General features: G+C 48.8%; 1 protein-coding gene across 2 annotated transcripts in view, besides 3 other annotated features; it reads right to left on the reverse strand.

The window, feature by feature from the left end:
• The window catches only part of FBXO31 (F-box protein 31), a 65,135-nt gene that overhangs the window by 37,822 nt on the left and 8,748 nt on the right, over positions 1-18,565 (reverse strand). The window lies entirely within an intron of this gene.
• Positions 1,387-1,888: an enhancer, noted in NCBI's record as "H3K27ac hESC enhancer chr16:87399801-87400302 (GRCh37/hg19 assembly coordinates)". NCBI's record gives its function as "activates a minimal SCP1, AML or CMV promoter by ChIP-STARR-seq in primed H9 embryonic stem cells {active_cell/tissue: H9 hESC(primed)}" and the evidence as "EXISTENCE:reporter gene assay evidence [ECO:0000049][PMID:30033119]".
• Positions 4,985-5,831: an enhancer, noted in NCBI's record as "H3K4me1 hESC enhancer chr16:87403399-87404245 (GRCh37/hg19 assembly coordinates)". NCBI's record gives its function as "activates a minimal SCP1, AML or CMV promoter by ChIP-STARR-seq in primed H9 embryonic stem cells {active_cell/tissue: H9 hESC(primed)}" and the evidence as "EXISTENCE:reporter gene assay evidence [ECO:0000049][PMID:30033119]".
• Positions 18,324-18,563: a silencer, noted in NCBI's record as "silent region_7833". NCBI's record gives its function as "represses an Ori minimal core promoter by ATAC-STARR-seq in GM12878 lymphoblastoid cells {active_cell/tissue: GM12878}" and the evidence as "EXISTENCE:reporter gene assay evidence [ECO:0000049][PMID:35858748]".

Consider the following 18,565-nt stretch of genomic DNA (forward strand, 5'->3'; position numbering starts at 1 on the left):
CTCAGGAGTTAGAGACCAGCCTGGGCAACATGGCGAGAGCCCATCTCTACAAAGAATACAATAATTAGCCAGGCATGGTGGCACACTACTCAGGAGGCTGATGTGGGAAGATCATCTGAGTCCAGGAGGTCGAGCCTGCAGTGGGCCAAGATAACACCACTGCAATCCAGCCTGAGTGACAGAGCGAGACCCCGTCTCTTAAATATATATATATATATATATATATATATATCAGGCAGGCCACCCAATAATTACAGCATTTTCTGTGAGGATATAAAGGTCTTTGCAGTGATGACAGAAAGAGAAAACCAATTTGCTTTAAGGCGAGATTCAAACTGGGAGTAGAAGGAGGTAAACAGAGGCAGGCGGAATGAGCCTCTGGGCCAGGCCAAGGGGTCAGGACTTCTGCTGCAGGCAGAGGGGAGCCTCAAAAGGCTCCTGAGCAGGGGCAGCGAGCTCCCTGGCAAGGCAGTGGCTCTCAACCCCTCAGACCAATCCCACTCCTTAAAACAAATATTACTAACACGTCCTAGATCCTCATGAAAGCAAAGAAACGATTCTACACACAATTGTAAACAATTAATATTGCCCTAATTGTAACAGGAAGGAATACAGAAATCCATCAAGGTACGTTTTGACATGTGATGCTCAGGTGAGACTTCAGCAGAGCCAGGCCGCTCTGGGCGTGGTCCAGGGACCTGCAGCATGGCCTCCTTGGGAGCTCGGCAGGGAGTCCCAGGCATCACCATCTCAGCAAGATACCCGGGATGGCTGGAGGAGCCCTGCACGGGCTGTGAACATCTCTGCCCATGCGGCCCACCATATTCAGCGCTGCCATGGTAACATGCATTTCCAAACAATTTCTGGAAAAGTTCTGAGCAAAATACACTTTTCTCTTAGTTGACAATGTATGAAACAACTGTATGAAAAACGCTGGGTGTAGGCCGGGCAAGGTGGTTCACGCCTGTAATCCCAGCACTTTGGGAGGCCAGGCAAATCACTTGAGGTCAGGAGTTCAAGGCCAGCCTGGCCAACATGATGAAACCCGGTCTCTATTGAAAATACAAAAATTAGCCGGGTGTGGTGGCAGCCACCTGTAATCCCAGCTACTCAGGAGGCTGAGGCAGAAGAATCGCTGGGAATCCGGGAGGCGGAGGTTGCCGTGAGCCAAGATTGCGCCACTGCACTCCAGCCTGGGCAACAGTGTGAGACTGCTTCTCAAAAACACAAAACAAAACAAAAAACAAATCGGTCAACGTCACCAAAACCAAGCAGAGTCTAACAAACTGTCACAGCCCAGAGGAGGCACGAGGACTGAATGCCACGGGGGCTCCCAGATGGGATTCTGGGAGAAGAAAAGGATGTGAGTGAAAACTGCGGAAATCTGAACCAAGTGCAGGCGTGGTTAATCATAACACATCATTATTGGTTTGTTAACTGTGACAAATATGCCATACTAAGAGAAGACGGTCACAACTGGGGAAATCAGAGCATATGGGAACTCTCTGCCCTTCCTTGCAATTTTTTAATAAATCCTATAATATTTAGTTTATTTAGGAAAAAATAATGCTCCTTATCATAAAACACCTCCTAGGAGGCAACACCCACGGCTGTGGTGGCAAGGGCCCAGACAGAGGTGAAGAGAGCGGGCAAGATCAGAGCAGAGCAGTGCAGAGGCCTGGAAACGCCCAGAGTGGGAAGGGCCCTGAGCACTCCAGGTGTGGCAGAGCTGGGAGGGCAGAGCTGGGAGGCAAAGGGAGGCATGCAGGGGTCACCTGGAAACAGCCAGGGAGCAGGACTGGCTTTCAGGAAAGGAGTGGACACAGAGATTGCCACTGACGAAAAATGGGAAAATATTTATGTACCACAGTTGCTGGTAAAGAAACTGATGAAAGAGCTCCAGCCAACAGGATCATCCACGATGGGCTGCTACATGGAGAGAGGGGAGGCAGAGGGCAGACGGGCCGGCTGCTGGGAGTGTGACGTCCACTCTTCTGCAAAGAAAGGGGCACACACATCTAGGGGTAGATGGAGCACTCTCTGGCGACCTCCAAAATAGCAATGCGGAAAATAAAAAAGAAACAACAAGACGGGCGCAAGGGCTCACACTTGTAATCCCAGCACTTTGGGAGGCCAAGGCAGAAGGCTTGCTTGAACCCAGGAGTTCAAGACCAATCTGAGCAACACAGTGAGACCCCAGCTCTACAAAATTTTTTTTAAAAATTAGCCAGGCACAGTGGCACACCTGTAACACCGGCAGTTTGATGTGGGAGGATTCTTGAGCCCAGGAGTTCAAGGCTGCTGTGAGTGACAATCAAGCCACTGCACTCCAGCCTGGGCAACACAGTGAGACCCTGTCTCAAAAAAATAAATAAATAAACAAACAAACAGAAAGAAATATGGTGTTTGTGAATCCAAAGCAGGGATGAAATGATACTTGCATGTAACATGGGTTGTCAATCTGAGGGACTGTGGGTTGTCAATATCCCTGCAGACCACTCACCCTCAGACCAGCTCAGTGGGTCACACTCACTGAAGTCAGGAAATAATAACAACTGGCCTACCTGCTCTCACTGAGCCGAGCTCCGCACCAACCCCCGACCACTGAAGCACATCAAGATTCCCAGGGGGGTCCTGCCAGTGCCCTGATGATCAGGTGGCTCTTCCTGAGACCCACCAGTCAGCTGCCACTATTTCCTCTGACTCTCCATAAGTACTTTATCCTCTTCTTACACAAATGATGCACTTCAAAATCGTTAGTTACTGCATAATGAGACTGGAGCTTCAGTTTGCTGCGTGGTTTAAAGGACAGCCCCTTTCCAGGTTCCAGATGCCACCAGTGCACATGACACCTCACTGACAAAGGAGTCTGGACTGGGGGTGCTTCTCCTCTGACGCATTTTCGTAGTTGCCTTAATGCTGCAGACAAGATGCTCTGATTCCCTGCGCCAACGGCCAGATGGGTGGACACCGGAAAACGCATCCATTTGTGCTTGTTGTTTATGCCGCCTGAAGTCATAAGCCAGTCCTCTGCAAGCCATCAATACTGTTCCTGAGGCAGTTTATCTTTGCTCAGATTGCTGAAGGCTGGTGACTTAGTTTCATGAATTTTCACTGAGCCCAATGCATCCTCTAACCTGTCAGAAACAATGCACGTAGCCTTTTATTAACTGCTTGGACTTCTGAATGAGTCCAAGGTTTTTAGCTAGGATAGCCACATCAACAGAGCCCATGGCCACCATCATTCTCTGTATACCTCACCAGCAAATGTATTGCTAATACCAAGTAGGAGATGAAATCAACAACTTGATAAAGCATCCACAAAAATGCTATTCAAATTCAGAAGAAAAGCAAAATGATGGCACAGTGCTAATGAATACAACAATCCTTAGTGGGTTTTTCCTACTGTCACCAAAAGGTCACGACAAATGAACCAGAGGAGAATAAATGTCATTCTGACCCAACTGCTCCTTTAAGTAATGTTCGATATTTTCCACATGATGAAAAAAGTCTTTTAAAAAATAGGGGTTAAGAACAATTACACATCCTTTTATTGTTCTATAAACCTTCTCATAAGTCATCAAGGGAAACTGCCCTTAACACAGCTCTCAGGCCAGTGTCCTTTCCAGCAACTATGCACCCTTCCTTCCAGAAAGACTGGCAAGTGATAACTCCCATCCTGCTGCACAGATCCAACCCAACTCCAGACGGCCAGCACGACCTGTGCTGCCTACCCGCTTCCAGGCAACAGGTTCAGTGTTGCAGGCTGTTAATGCACAGTGTGCTTGCTAAAAGTTTCCTTACTAATCTATTTCCTTTTTTTTTTTTTTTTTGCCTTTATAAGAGGAAGTGTGCTGGGTAATTATCCATCTTAATAGTTTCAGAAAGAGGAACAGATAACCTCAGTCCAACATGATTGGAGGTTGGCAAAATCTACTGAAGCAGCTGTTCTGATTGCTAAGGATTTAATTTAGATAGTTTCTTTGTTTTTTGTTTATTTGTCTTTTTGAAATAGAGTTTCGCTCTTGTTGCCCAGGCCGGAGTGCAGTGGCACCATCTCGGCTCACTGCAACCTCCACCTCCCAAGTTCAAGTGATTCTCCTGCCTCAGCCTACCAAGTAGCTGGGATTACACGTGCCCGCCACCACACCTGGCCCCAATTTTTGTATTTTTAGTAGTGACGGGGTTTCGCCATGTCTCGAACTCCTGACCTCAAGTGATCTGCCTGCCTCGGCCTCCCAAAGTGCTAGGAATACAGGCGTGAACCACTGCACCCGGCCTTTATTTTTTTTATTTTTTATTTTTTTCATTTCCTCTTGTAAGAGGTCATCTTCTGATTGGAATATGTGAAGTGGCAATTTAGTTTTGTTATCATGGTAAAAATAAACATAAAAGCTACCATTTTACCCACTGTTGACTGTACGGCTCACGGGGACTCAGCACCTCCATATCGCCGTGCAGCCTCCTCCACCATCCACGTGAAGAACCTTTTCATCTTCCCAGACAAACTGTCCCCATGGAGCGGCAACTCCACACTTCCCCAGCCCCGTCCTCGGCACCCACCATTCTGCCTTCTGTCTCTCTGCTTTTGACTACTCTAAGACACCTCATCCAAGTGGAAGCATGCCGTACTTGTCCTTTGGTGACAGTTTATTTCACTTAGCATAATGTCCTTCAGCTGCGTGCATCATCAGGATTTCCTTCCTTTTTAAGAATGGATTGTATTCCAGCCTGCAGGGACCACGCTGTGTTCATCCGTTTATTCATGGATGAGCACCTGGGATGGCTCCGCCTTTTGGCTACTGTGAATAAAACTGCTTCAGACATAGGTGTCAAGATATCTGAGTCCCTTCCTTTCTTTTATGGGGGGAATATACCCAGAAGGAGACTTTTTAGATCAGATGGTATTTCTAAGTTTAAATTTTTTAGGAACTACAATACTGTTTTCCACAGCGTGACTATTTTTCATAAATTTCTCTTGTTTTTGAGACAGGGTCTCACTTTCTGTCAGCCAGGCGACAGACTGAGACTCCGTCTCAAAAATAAATAAATAAATAAGAAAATTTCAAAAAAAAAATGCTATTTAAAAGCTGTTTTGCCAAGAGGAACAAAACAGCCCAGTGACCTGACCTGAGTCCAGCTACACTGAAGCTGTGCCCTTTCATGACTCAACTGCCAGGGGCCACCAACCTCTGCACACCATCTTCTTGTCCAACAGAGCTCATTGCTGAGTGGTGGCACTTACTGGAAACCCCGTCCCTGCAGCACAGGCCTGAATGGGGCCTGCATCTAGTCCATCTCTCTGGTGGGAATGCTTTGGAAGAGCCCTTACTGTCCCCCTGTCCCACTCTCCCCTCCCTCTCAGGGGCCCGGGGAAGACTCATCTGCTTCGTGAGCACCCCCTACCCCTGGGAAGGGAAGATGAAGAGGACGGGAGGTGGCAGCCTGGCCAGCGTGGCCGAGCCCGCACTCAGCACACTGGGATGGGAGGGACAGGGACACACAGAGTCACTATTCTGTGCACGGCACTGGCACTAGGGGGACTGCAGTAAGAAGGCACTTGGCATCTTCCTCCCAAAAGCACCACTTGAGAAAGGCACCACACTAAGATGCCATCTGGGGCAACTTGGCAGGTGCCTGAGTGTGGAGAGAGCTTTGCCCAGCCCTGGGGCACTCGACACCAGGGACTGCAGTCAGCACTGCAGAGTTCAGCTGGTAGGGCTGCGCCAGCCACCGGGCCGCCAGACCCAGGGGAATAGGAGCCTGTGGGTGGGGATGACTGAGGAGGCAGTGGGGTGACCCTGGGCATGCAGGCAGGGAACCCGAGGGAGAGGGCCCTGTGAGACAGGCAGAGGCAGCCACTGCGGCCCCTGGGACACTGCTGGGTCTCAGCCTCCCTGGAGCAGAGTGAAGCCAGGAGCAGAGGGGGCGGCGAGTGCTGAGGGACCTGCTGGCTGGTGTCCTACCCGCTTTACACTCAGTTTTCCAAATAAAACCAAAAGACGACACTGATTGGAAAGACTGCGTTTGTACTTGCGCTAAATTAGGGGATAATTACAATCCATAGGAAACATGGCTTAAATTTTTCTGCTTCTGAGGCTAAAAAGGAAGTTAAGGCACAGGGAATGAGCTGGCGGTGGCAGGGGGGACATGCCCCCGGGCTCCAAGAACAGCGCCCCAACTGCGGCCCGGCACTCCCCAACACTCCCAGCTCTGCAGCCACCAGCCTGACTGCATGGAAAACTTGCTGTTTTTAAATAATGCAGCAGATCTGCAAACACTCCCACAGCCAGCATCCCCTCAGGATAGAATGGAAAAAACAAAGCCTGGGCGCAGCCCCCAGGCATCTCCTATCAAACATCAGAGTATGTGGGTGCTAAACAATGAGGTGACCACTGAGCCAGCGTAGCTCCTGCTCAAACAATCTCATCCCTGCAATGACAGTAGCCATGTGGACAGGAGACTTGAGAAGACTGCCTCCTCCAGCCAGGACTTCCGCCCCTCCTCTGGCACCCACGACAGGCACCCACTGGCCAAGGGAGTCCCCTCTCGCTAAGATGCAGTGGTCATCCCCGATACCACTCCTTCCCAAAGGGCACAAGCAATCACTCGGTGACACTGTTCACGACCCTTCTGTGAGTCTGACTCTACAATCCTATCACCCAGGACCTTCCCGAGATTTCAAATGCGTCCTCTTCCTCCATTCATGCCAGGCAGGCCTGACGAGTCGTGGCTAATTCTCTCCATCACCCCGGTGGCCAGGGACGGCGTTCCTGTCAAAGGACGCTGACCCAGAAAGGGGAGAGACAGCAGGGACACACTTGTTTTTTGAGAGGACACTCGTTCCCCTGCAAGATCCCAAGATGCCCTGTGTGTACATGGCCTTTCCAGACAGAAAGACAAACCCCAGACCCTCAGATGCATTACGTCATTGCATTACAAACAGGATCAGTGAGCGCGCAGCGCCAGGACCTCTAGCAACCAATTAGTTCTGCTGGGCAAGTCTCAGGGAGTGTCCCATGACAAGTGGGGAAGGGGAAACCTCGACTCAACACCTTCCGGGTGCCAGATTCACTTTTGTTTTTAAATTTTTTTTTTTTAAGTTAAAAAAAAATAGTCTTAAAAAATGTTTGGGCTGGGTGCAGTGGCTCATGTATGTAATCCCAGCACTTTAGGAGGCCGAGGTGGGCAGACTGCTTGAGCTCAGGAGTTCGAGACCAGTCTGGACAACATGGCAAAACCCCATTTCTACTAAAAACACAAAAATTAGCCAGGTATGGTGGCACATGCATGTAGTCCTAGCTACTGGGGAGGCTGAGGAAGGAGGATCATATGAACCCAGGATGTGGAGGTGGCAGTGAGCCGAGATCATGCCATTGCACTGCAGTCTAGGCAACAGAGTAGGGAAAAATGAAATGCTCCCCTAATAAGCACCATTTTCCTTTATTCTCCTTGTGCTTTGCTAAGTGAAATGACTACGTTTCTCTAGACAGTGGTGGATGATATTCAACTTGCAAAAATATAGAGAACTGCCCTCCTTCCCATTGAAAAGGCAGAGGAAAAGGAAAAAGGCTTTCCCCACAGTGCTGAGACCCCACTGTATGTCAGGACACGGGCCAGTGTTCCCATCTCCTGGCTCAGTCATGGTGTTGCTACTGCCTGGACAGTGCGTTTATCCAGCTGCCCACCCGCCACCCATTCCATCAGAACCAGTGGGCTCAACAACTGTCTGCTAACAAGAATCATGAAGCATTTCTTTTTGTTTTTTTAGAGGTAGAGTCTCACTCCATCACTCAGGCTGGAGTGCAGTGGTAAGATCGCAGGTCACTGCAGACTCAAACTCCTGGGCTCATGTGATTCTCCCACTTCAGCCACCTGAGTAGCTGGGGCCACAGGCGTGTGCCACCACACCTGGTTAATTTCCTTTTTTTTTTTTTTTTTTGAGACAGAGTCTCACTCTGTCACCAGGGCTGGAGTGCAGTGGTGTGATCTTGGCTCACTGCAACCTCTGCCTCCTGGGTTCAAGCACTTAGTTCTTCTGCCTCAGCCTCCCAAGTAGCTGGGACTACAGGCACGCCACCACACCCCACTAATTTTTGTACTTTCTGTAGAGACGGGGTTTCACCATATTGACCAGGCTGGTCTCGAAATACTGACCTCAGGTGATCTACCCGCCTCAGCCTCCCAAAGTGCTGGGATTACAGGCGTGAGCCACTGCACCCGGCCTCTTTTTTCACATGGCCTTGCCATGTTGCCCAGGCTGGTCTCCAACTCCTGGCCTCAGGTGATCCTCCTGCCTCAGCCTCCCAAAGTGCTGAGATAACAGATGTGATCCACAACACCCAGCCAATTCCTGAAGCTGGCCGGGCACAGTGGCTCACGCCTGTAATCCCAGCACTTTGGGAGGCCGAGGCGGGCAGATCACAAGGTCAGGAGATCGAGACCATCTTGGCTAACACAGTGAAACCCTGTCTCTACTAAAAATACAAAAAAATTAGCCGAGCATGGTGTCGGGTGCCTGTAGTCCCAGCTACTCAGGAGGCTGAGGCAGGAGAATGGCGTGAACCCAGGAGGTGGAGCTTGCAGTGAGCCGAGATCGCGCCACTGCACTCCAGCCTGGGCGACAGAGCGAGACGCTGTCTCAAAAAAAATAATTATATATATACATATATACACACACATACATACCTGAATATATATATACACATACATACCTGAAGCCAACTTTTCTTTTTTTTTTTGACAGGGTCTCACTTTGTCATCCAGGCTGGAGTGCAGCGGTATGAACAAGCTCACTGCAGCCTTGAACTCCTGGGCACAAGCAATCCTCCAGCCTCCCTCAGCCTCCGGAGGAACTGGGACTACAGGTGTGCACCACCACACCCTAAAGCCAAGTTTTAAACCACTAACTTGTCCCTTTCACTTCTTCCCGAGATGACCCCTCCAGTTTCAGCCACGTTTAACCAAAGCCATAGCTCTCATACTGTGCATCAGCAAATCAAAAGAGAACAGAAATAGCACTTTCTTCTGCATTCAAAAACAACATTAAACGCTGGCTTTAAATTTCTCATTTTTATCATACAGATCAAACAGTACAGATGCTTTTCAACTTGTGACAGGATTACATTCCAATAAACCCACTGTAAATATGAAGGCCGGGCATGGTGGTTCACACCTGTAATGCACTTTGGGAGACCAAGGCAGGAGGTTCCCTTGAGGCCAGGACTTCCAGACCAGCCCGGGCAACACTGTGAGAACCCATCTCTACAAAAAATACAAAAAATGTAGCCAGGTGTGGTGGCACATGCCTACAGTCCCAACTACTTGAGAGGCTAAGGCAGGAGGATTCCTCGAGCCTAGGAGGTCAAAGTTGCCGTGAGCCATGATCGCGCCACTACACTCCAACCTGAGCAACAGAGGCCCTGTCTCCACAAAAAGAAAAAAAAAAAAAGAGAGGAAAATGTGGTAAGTTGAAAATGCACTGACTACTTGACTACCCCTAACCTACGGAACATCACAGCTTAGCCTAGCCCACCTTAAATGAACTCAGAAAACTTAGCCTACAGCTGCGCAAAATCATCGAAAATCGCTTTATTGTATAATAAAGCGTTGACTATCTTGTGATTTATTGGGTACTGCACTGAAAGTGGAAACAGAATGGCTGCATGGGCACGCGCAGCAGTTCCTACTGAATGTGTGTCACTCTCATGCCAGCCGGACAGTCCTAAGCCCGACTGTCTGTATAGGAAAAGGGTATTTCTAGCGATGATGAAATTTAGACCCACCTTAGGCTTACAACAGACAAAAATGTTGTACAAATAGTATTCCACGTAACATTAAAGTATTTACCATTCACGGAGAAAACGGCAAGCTATGAATTCTAAATTCAAAACTGGGCACTGCAGGGACCATGCTGGCTAGTGTGCCTCACTCTCCGGAGTTCAGGGAGGAGTACGCGCCTGAGTCATTCCTGTTTTTAAATGTAATCTTTTGTTATTATTTGAATATTTTTATTCAGAATGATGCTATGAATTTCCAAAGCATATCAGCTTTAGGCAGACTTCATGAAGTAGCTCATAAATGAACAGTGCCGACTGGGCGTAATGGCTCACGCCTGTAATCCCAACACTTTGAGAGGCCGGGGTGGGCAGATCACCTGAGATCAGGAGTTCAAGACTAGCCTGGCCAACATAGTGAAACCCTGGCTCTACAAAAAATACAAAAGTTAGGCCAGGTGCGGTGGCTCACGCTTGTAATCCCAGCACTTTGGGAGGCCGAGGCAGGCGGATCACAAGGTTAGGAGATCAAGAACACGGTTAAACCCCATCTCTACTAAAAATACAAAAAATTAGCCGGGCGTGGTAGCGGGCGCCTGTAGTCCCACCTACTTGGAGAGGCTGAGGCAGGAGAATGGCGTGAACCCGGGAGGCAGAGCTTGCAGTGAGCCAAGATCGCGCCACTGCACTCCAGCCTGGGTGACAGAGCGAGACGCCGTCTCAAAAAACAAAAACAAAAACAAAAAACAAAACAAAAATTAGCTGGGCATGGTGGTGCATGTTTGTGATCCCAGCTACCTGGGAGGCTGAGGCAGAGAAATGCTTGAACCCGGGAGGTAGAGGATGAAGTGAGCCGAGATCACGCCACTGCCCTCCAGCCTGGGCAACAGAGCAAGACTCTGTCTCAAAAAATAAATAAATAAATAAATAAATGAACAGTGCCAAAATGGGCTGGCATTTCACAACACATCAACTAAAAGGGCAACGACTAACCAAAACAAGCCCAGGCAGGGCCACGGCAAGAGAGGCAGCCAGCTCCTGCCCCAGCACCCCAGAAAGTGAAGGCTTCTTTATATTCCTCAGGCAAGGAACTGCCAGAGGCCGAGGGCGACACATCAAAGAAGGGTCCCACACCCACCCTGCCAGGCCCTGCAGGCTGGAGTGAGTTTGGTTTTGTTTCCTATCCGGAGAAGGAGCCCTTATTTGTGATCTGCCTGCCCCAACATCAGAAGTACAGACATGGCTTTCAGTGGGAACTCCCTTCACCTGCCCAAAGAAACACTATTAGAAAAGATTTAACCCACCAGCTCCAAGCTGCCCCTGCCGCCACCCTCAGCCTGAGTCACTCCACTTCCCCACATGCAGGGGCCAGAGAGGCCACAGTAGTATAAAAATAACCAACTTACTATTGCCAACAGGACAATGGAAATCTTCAGCTTCTCACTGACCAAACATATTATAAATAACCACCTCATTTCCAGTTGCCAGTGTATTCCCCCTGCCCTCCACTGCCACAGCATCCTATCCCTTTAGAAAGAGCCTTAAACACGCAAGCCTCACCCACATCCTAAAGTCAGTCATGGCCCAAAATTATCTGAAGCATTAAAAGACAGGCAGAGGTTCCCTTTTTCCCACTCCCATTTTTGTTGCTTGCTCTCTGTTGTGGGAAACTCAATTTTCTTTTTTTCTTTCTTTTTTTTTTTTGTTAAGACAGAGTCTTACTCTGTCGCCCAGGCTGGAGTGCAGTGGCGCGATCTCAGCTCACTGTAACCTCTGCCTCCAAGGTTCAAGCTATTCTCCTGCCTCAGTCACCCAAGTAACTGGGATTACAGGTGTGAGTCACCACGTCCAGCTAATTTTTGTATTTTTAGTAGAGACAGGGGTTTCACCAGGTTGGCCAGGCTGGTCTCGAACTCCTGACCTCATATGATCTGCCCAACTTGGCCTCCCAAAGTGCTGGGATTACAGGTATGAGACACCACACCTGGCCCCATTATTAAATGGCAGAAAGTATTCAACATCTGTGAAAAGAAGAAAATAAACACAGAAAGCAGACAAGTTGAAACTGGGTGGTAAACACAGAAATCAGCCTCACTCACCAACCCCCAAGACACTAAAAAGTGGAGCCACCCTTATACCTCTGCCAGGACGCCAGGTGGGCAAGGACCATGCACCTCCCAGGCAGCCCAAGCTCTGCTCCTCCTCACAAGGCTGGGGCCAGCCCTGTTTCTCACTTGAACTGGCCTGCCCTTGGCCTTATCAGTATCCACCATAACGAAATGTTAGGAAAGATGAAGTTTCAGGGCTCAGAAAACTAAGACCCGATCTATCTCATATACGACTATTCCTATCTGTATTTCCAAGCACAATTAGACTAACAAAGTAAGACACCTGTAATACCACACAGGCTTGCCCACGGTCTGATACCTGACCTAGATGAGGTGGAATTAAAGCTGCCACAATGAACTCGTGAAACTGAAAATCTAGTTGTTTACCACGTTCGTAACTTTGGGGTGTAAACTGATCATTTAAGCATAAAGTTTGAAATCTATAATTTTGATTAAAGTTGGAAATTTTAGGCTGGGGACGGTGGCTCACGCCAGTAATCCTAGCACTTTGGGAGGCCGAGGCGGGCGGACCACTTGAGCCCAGGAGTTCCAGACCAGCCTGGGCAACGTGGTAAAAATCTGTCTCTATAAAAAGATACAAAAATTAGCCAGGTGTGTTGGCACGTGCCTATAGTCTCAGCTACTCAGGAGGCTGAGGTGGGAGGATCATTTACGCCGGAGAAGTCAAGGCCACAGTGAGCCATAATAGCGCCACTACACTCCAACCTGGGTGACATCACGAGGGAGACCCTGTCTCAAAAAAGTTGGAAATTTTGCCAAAGTCACTATAAATGAAGTTGAAAAGCAAATGACTATAGACAATGAGAAAATGTTTTTCAATATATTAAACAATCCAGAGGCAGCAGCTCACGCCTGTAATCCCAGTACTTTAGGAGGCCAAGGTGGGCAGATCACTTGAGGCCACGAGTTCAAGACCAGCGGGGGCAACACAGTGAGACCCCATCTCTACAAAATAATACAAAAAAATTAGCTGGGTGTGGTGGTGCACGCCTGTACTCCCAGCTTCTTGGGAGGCTGAGGTGGGAGGATTACTTCAGCCAGGGAGGTTGAGGCTGTAGTGAGCTGTGACTGCACCACTACACTCTAGCCTGGGTGACAGAAAGAGACCCAGTCTCAAAAAAAAAAAAGAAAAAACATGTATATATAAAAAAACAGAAATCTAGGCCAGGCACAGTGGCTCATGCCTGTAATCCCAGCACTTTGGGAGCCCGAGGCAGGCGGATCACCTGAGGTTGGGAGTTCGAGACCAGCCTGACCAACCTGGAGAAACCCCATCTCTACTAAAAATACAAAAAATTAGCCAAGCATGGTGGTGCACACCTGTAATCCCAGTTATTCAGGAGGCTGAGGCAGGAGAACTGCTTGAACCCGGGAGGCAGAGGTTGCGGTGAGCCAAGATAGCGCCATTGCACTACAGCCTGGGCAACAAGAGCAAAACTCCATCTCAAAAAAAAAAACAAAACAAAACCAGAAATCTATCCAGATTACATAAATAAAATCCACAAATCAAAGAAAGGAAAAAAGAAGCAAAAATGAAAGATAAATAAAATAAATCCAAATGATCAATAAATATATTTTTTAAATGTGCACCCTCACTAGTTATCAGGCAAATGCAAAATAAAATGGCACAAAATAAAAATGCAAAATAAATGGTGAATAAAATTCACCCAAATTGGCATCGATTTTTAAAGAGGAATCATTAAAATTAGAGAGAACTTAGCGGAATTAGAGAATTCACTGGATTAAATGAGAAACTTAAAGTGCTGGCAGCTACTGTGCAATACTGCATCCGGGCAGTTAAGTTTCTCCTTCTGGGACTTGCCCATCCATGGCCTGGTGACAGGGGTACAAAGGGAAATCACTCTGGGAAGCACCTAGCAAAACTGCTTATCTCACCCCTGCCTACCCAGGCAACACCACTCCTGGATATAATCCTCAGAAAAATGTTCAAATATATACGCATCCTGGCTGGGCGCGGTGGCTCACGCCTGTAATCCCAGCACTTTGGGAGGCAGAGGCGGGTGGATCATGAGGTCAGGAGATCGAGACCAACCTGGCTAACACGGTGAAACCCCGTCTCTACTAAAAAGACAAAAAATTTAGCAGGGCACGGTGGCGGGCGCCTGTAGTCCCAGCTACTCGGGAGGCTGAGGCAGGAGAATGGCGTGAACCCAGGAGGCGGAGCTTGCAATGAGCAGAGATGGCGCCACTGCACTCCAGCCAGGGCGACAAAGCAAGACTCCATCTCAAAAAAAAAAAAAAACAAAATATATAGATATAGACATAGATATAGATATATATGTATCCAAAGATATGAGAGTTCACTGCCACACTGCACCTAGTGAAAAAATAAAAATAAGCAAAAGAACTCTGTGACCACTCAGAGTTATGAACCATCACATACCCTTTTGTTTTGTTTTGTTTTTTTGAGATGGAGTCTCACTCTTGTAGCCCAGGCTGGAGTGCAATGGCATGCATGATCTTGGCTCACTGCAACCTCCACATCCCAGGTTCAAGCAATTCTCTGTAGGACAGATCAGTCAGAGTGGTGGGAAAATCTACAGGGAAAGGACGCAAACCTTCTGAAAGGTGGGAAGGTTCTGCAGAGCTGGGGGGAGAATAGCTGAAGGCAGCTGTTCTATAACCCTGAGGCAGAGGGCATGGGGTAGGTACAAGGAGTGTGGAGGAATTCATCTTAAACAGGCTTGTTTACTTATGTTGACCAGGAACTGACCTTTGAACCTCAGCACATGATGTTCCCTGAAAGGGGAACAATAAATGTTAATTACCTGCAGGTTGTGTTTGCCCCAGGTTTTCCGCATTGTGCCTGCACTGAATAAAAGCAAGCAGCTCCAGCTTCTCAGGGCTGCTCTCTGGCCACTAAAGCCAGGAAGTCACCTAGCTGCTCTTAACACTGCATACCTGTGTCTGAGTACTCATTTCATCCATCAGCCAGGGTCTGTGGGACAGACCCGGCAATTCTCTTGCCTCAGCCTCCAGAATAGCTGGGATTACAGACGCCCACCACCACACCCAGCTAATTTTTGAATTTTTAGTAGAGACGGGGTTTCACCATGTCGGCCAGGCTGGTCTCCAACTCCTGATCTCGGGTGATCTGCCCGCCTTGGCCTCCCAAAGTGCTGGAATTACAGGTGTGAGCCACTGCGCCCAGCCCGCATACCATTTAAAAAGACAGAACTAAAATGTATTAACATGAATAGAACTTAAAAATACAACTTGGGCCACTGCACTCCAGCCTGGGCAAGAGAGCGAGACTCCGCTCCAAAAGAAAAAAAAAAAAAAAGGCCTGCCGCGGTGGCTCACGCCTGTAATCCCAGCACTTTGGGAGGCCGAGGCAGGCAGATCACAAGGTGAGGATATCAAGACCATTCTGGCCAACACGGTGAAACCCCGTCTCTACTAAAAATACAAAAATTAGCCGGGCATAGTGGCGGGCGCCTGTAGTCCCAGCTACTTAAGAGGCTGAGGCAGGAGAATTGCTTGAACTCAGGAGGCAGAGGCTGTAGTGAGCCAAGAATGCACCACTGCACTCCAGCCTGGTGACAGAGCGAGACTCCGTCTCAAAAAAAAAAAAAAAAAAAGACAAAGGAACCAAAAGCAAATATGACAAATGATTTAAGTCCTTTATTGGGGATGGCCGGAAATATGCCTGGTTCATCATTTTTGTTTTTCATGGGTTTTTTTTGCGAAAGGGTCTCACTCTGTCACCCGGACTGGAGTGCAGTAGCATGTTCACAGCTCACTGCAGCCTCGACCGCCTCAGGGTCAGGTGATCCTCCCACCTCAGCCTTCCACAGGCACGCACCACCATGACTGGCTAACTTTTGTATTTTTTGTAGAGATGGGTTTTACCATGTTGCCGAGGCTGGTCTTGAACTCCTGGGCTCAAGTGATCTGCCAGCCTTGGCCTGCCAAAGTGTGTTTTTAATGTCTCAAAATGAGAATTCTCACGTTAGCAGGTCACTTGGGTGAACAAGATGCTTTCATTCTACATCACGGTGTCTGGTGTCCCAGGACAGCTGCGCTGAGAACCGCAGCAGTGGGAAAGAAAGGATTGAAGGGTCCTATATCTGTCCCCAGTCGCTTTCTACATCTCCATCAGGACTTTTCACATTTCTGTTAGTAATTCTAAGAATTTATTCTGAGTTGTAATTCCGGTTGTTCTATTCTACAGTATACCTTTGAATTTTTGATTACACAAAAAACCTTGTTATCCCTCTGCTGAGCCATATATACCTTACGGTTTCCCAAACAAACCCCCCAGAGGTCACCACACAGGTCTGGCCGCCTAATGGAGAAACTTCAAAGCACAACGACACATCCTTGGGGAATCTGAGTCTTACAGCTACACAAAGTGCAAACCAGAGCAAATGGGTAGACTTCACAGGGAAAGAGAAAGTGGAACTGCCTTTGTCTCAATCTTAAAATGTAAAAAGAACTTCACTTTCCATGTACATGACAAAAATCTTGTATTACTAATACTCAGTTCTCACAATTTGTAAGACAAAAATAGACACTCTAAGAGAAAAAGACAAAAATAGACATCTTAAGAGAAAAAAGACCAAAAAAAGCCACAAATAAGGAATTCGCAAAAAGGCACAATAAAAATAGCCAAGAATCATCAACACCCACTAGCTACCATTTAGGGGAGAGGGCTTCACAGGCATCACCTACCTCATTCACCCTCCAAGCACCTCCGGGAGCAGCACTTCCCACTCATGCTCCCAACAGGACTTGGGAAGGTGAAGCAGCTTGTCCAGGATCTCACAGCAGATAAACACGAGCCTGGGCTGGGGCCCAAGTCAGCTGACTCCAAATCAGGGGCCTCGACCATTAAGCAACAAAAATAATTTATGACGAACTCTGTCCGGGAGGACTTGGAGAAAGGGTTCTTCTCATGCAGACCTCCTTGGGGTGCAAACTCAAAGAGCCCGACAACAGGCTGCAAAGGTTTCATCAACATGCAGTCCTACAAATCCACAATCCCACTTGAGGAACTGCACCCTACCAGCCAGCGTGGGGGCTCGCGCCTGTAATCCCAACACTTTGGGAGGCCGAGGCGGGTGAATCACAAGGTCAGGAGTTCCAGAGCATCCTGGCCAACATAGTGAAACCCCCGTCTCTACTAAAAATACAAAAATTAGCCGGGCACGGTGGCACGCATCTGTAGTCCCAGCTACTTGGAGGCTGATGCGGGAGAATCACTTGAACCTGGGAGACGGAGGTTGCAGTGAGCCAAGACCGCGCCACTGCACTCCACAGCCTGGGTGACAGAGTGAGACTCCGTCTCAAAAAAAAAAAAGAAGGAAGTGCATCCCACCGAGACAATCTCAGAAGTTCCCAAGGATACATGTCAATCTCCTAAATTTCTATAAAATGCACAAAGCAGTCTTCAAAGCACTGTTTATGCATGGAAAAAATGCAGACTTCAAAGCTTATCAGTGAGGGACGAGTCTGTGCTACATGCAGGGAGTGAAATACTATGTAGCATTGTTTACACTACACTGTCTCTAAGAGAATATATATTGCATTATATCCTTTAGGGAAGAAGGTACACACGACTCAGAGGTTTTTTAAAATGTTAAGAGTGGTTTATTTTTGACTGCTGGGGTCTCTGATGGTATTTACTTTGTTCCTTTTGCTGTTCTGCATCGCTTGGATGTTTTCTAACCTGTCCTTTTTACCTAAATATGAGCTGCTTGAACATCAAAGAGCTGTCAACCTTTAAACAGAGAGAGCCTTGAACTCCAGATTAAATAAACATCTCCTCCTGTGATCTGTTACATCCAATATTGCTGAAGGCAAAAGTCCAGCCCGCACCGCTGTGATCCATCCGTCTCTCTACGCCCCCACCATCAGGAGCCCCCGACACTGGGCTTCCCCTACTCCCGTAATTTTTTTTGTTGCTGTTGTTTGAGACCAAGTCGCACTCTGTCGCCTAGGGTGGAGTGCAATGGCCCAGATGTTGGCTCAGTGCAACCTCCGCCTCCCGGGTTCAAGCCATTCTTCTGCCTCACCCTCCCGAGTAGCTGGGATTACAGGCGCCCGCTACCACGCCCGGCTAATTTTTGTATTTTTGTAAGTAGAGACGGGGTTTTACCATCTTCACCAGGCTGGTCTCGAACTCCTGACCTCAGGTGACCCGCCCGCCTCGGCCTCCCTAAGTGCTGAGATTACAGGCGTGAAACCGCGCCCGGCCTGCTCCCATTTCTTCAAGTTCACCTCGTCTCTGGTCAGGGCCAGCGGGGCACCCTCGGCTCGCCTTCAAGACAGGGGCAGAGGAGGCGGCCCCCAGGCGTCAGCTTAGGCCCCGCGCAGACCTCGAGGGATCCCAGCCCCAGCTCCCGGCACGGCCTCGGCCCCGTGGTGTCCCGTGCCCCGCGTCAGGGCCTCTTCGATGCCTCCCTGACGCCCTCAACCCCTCCCTACCCCGTCTGCCTCTCTTGGACCCCTCGGACCCTCCCTAACCGCCTCAAATACCTCCCTGGCCCCCTCAACGTGGTGTCACCGCGGCCGCTCCCCACCCACACCCAAAACACCACATCGCCGGGCCCCGCGCCCAACTGGTGGCCCCCGGCCGGGGCCACCGCCCCCGCCACTCCCAGCTCCGAGGCCTCCACCTGGCAGGGACCCCCCGCC

This window comes from Homo sapiens, chromosome 16 (genome assembly GCF_000001405.40).
Source record: "Homo sapiens chromosome 16, GRCh38.p14 Primary Assembly".
In the NCBI taxonomy this organism is placed as follows: domain Eukaryota; kingdom Metazoa; phylum Chordata; class Mammalia; order Primates; family Hominidae; genus Homo; species Homo sapiens.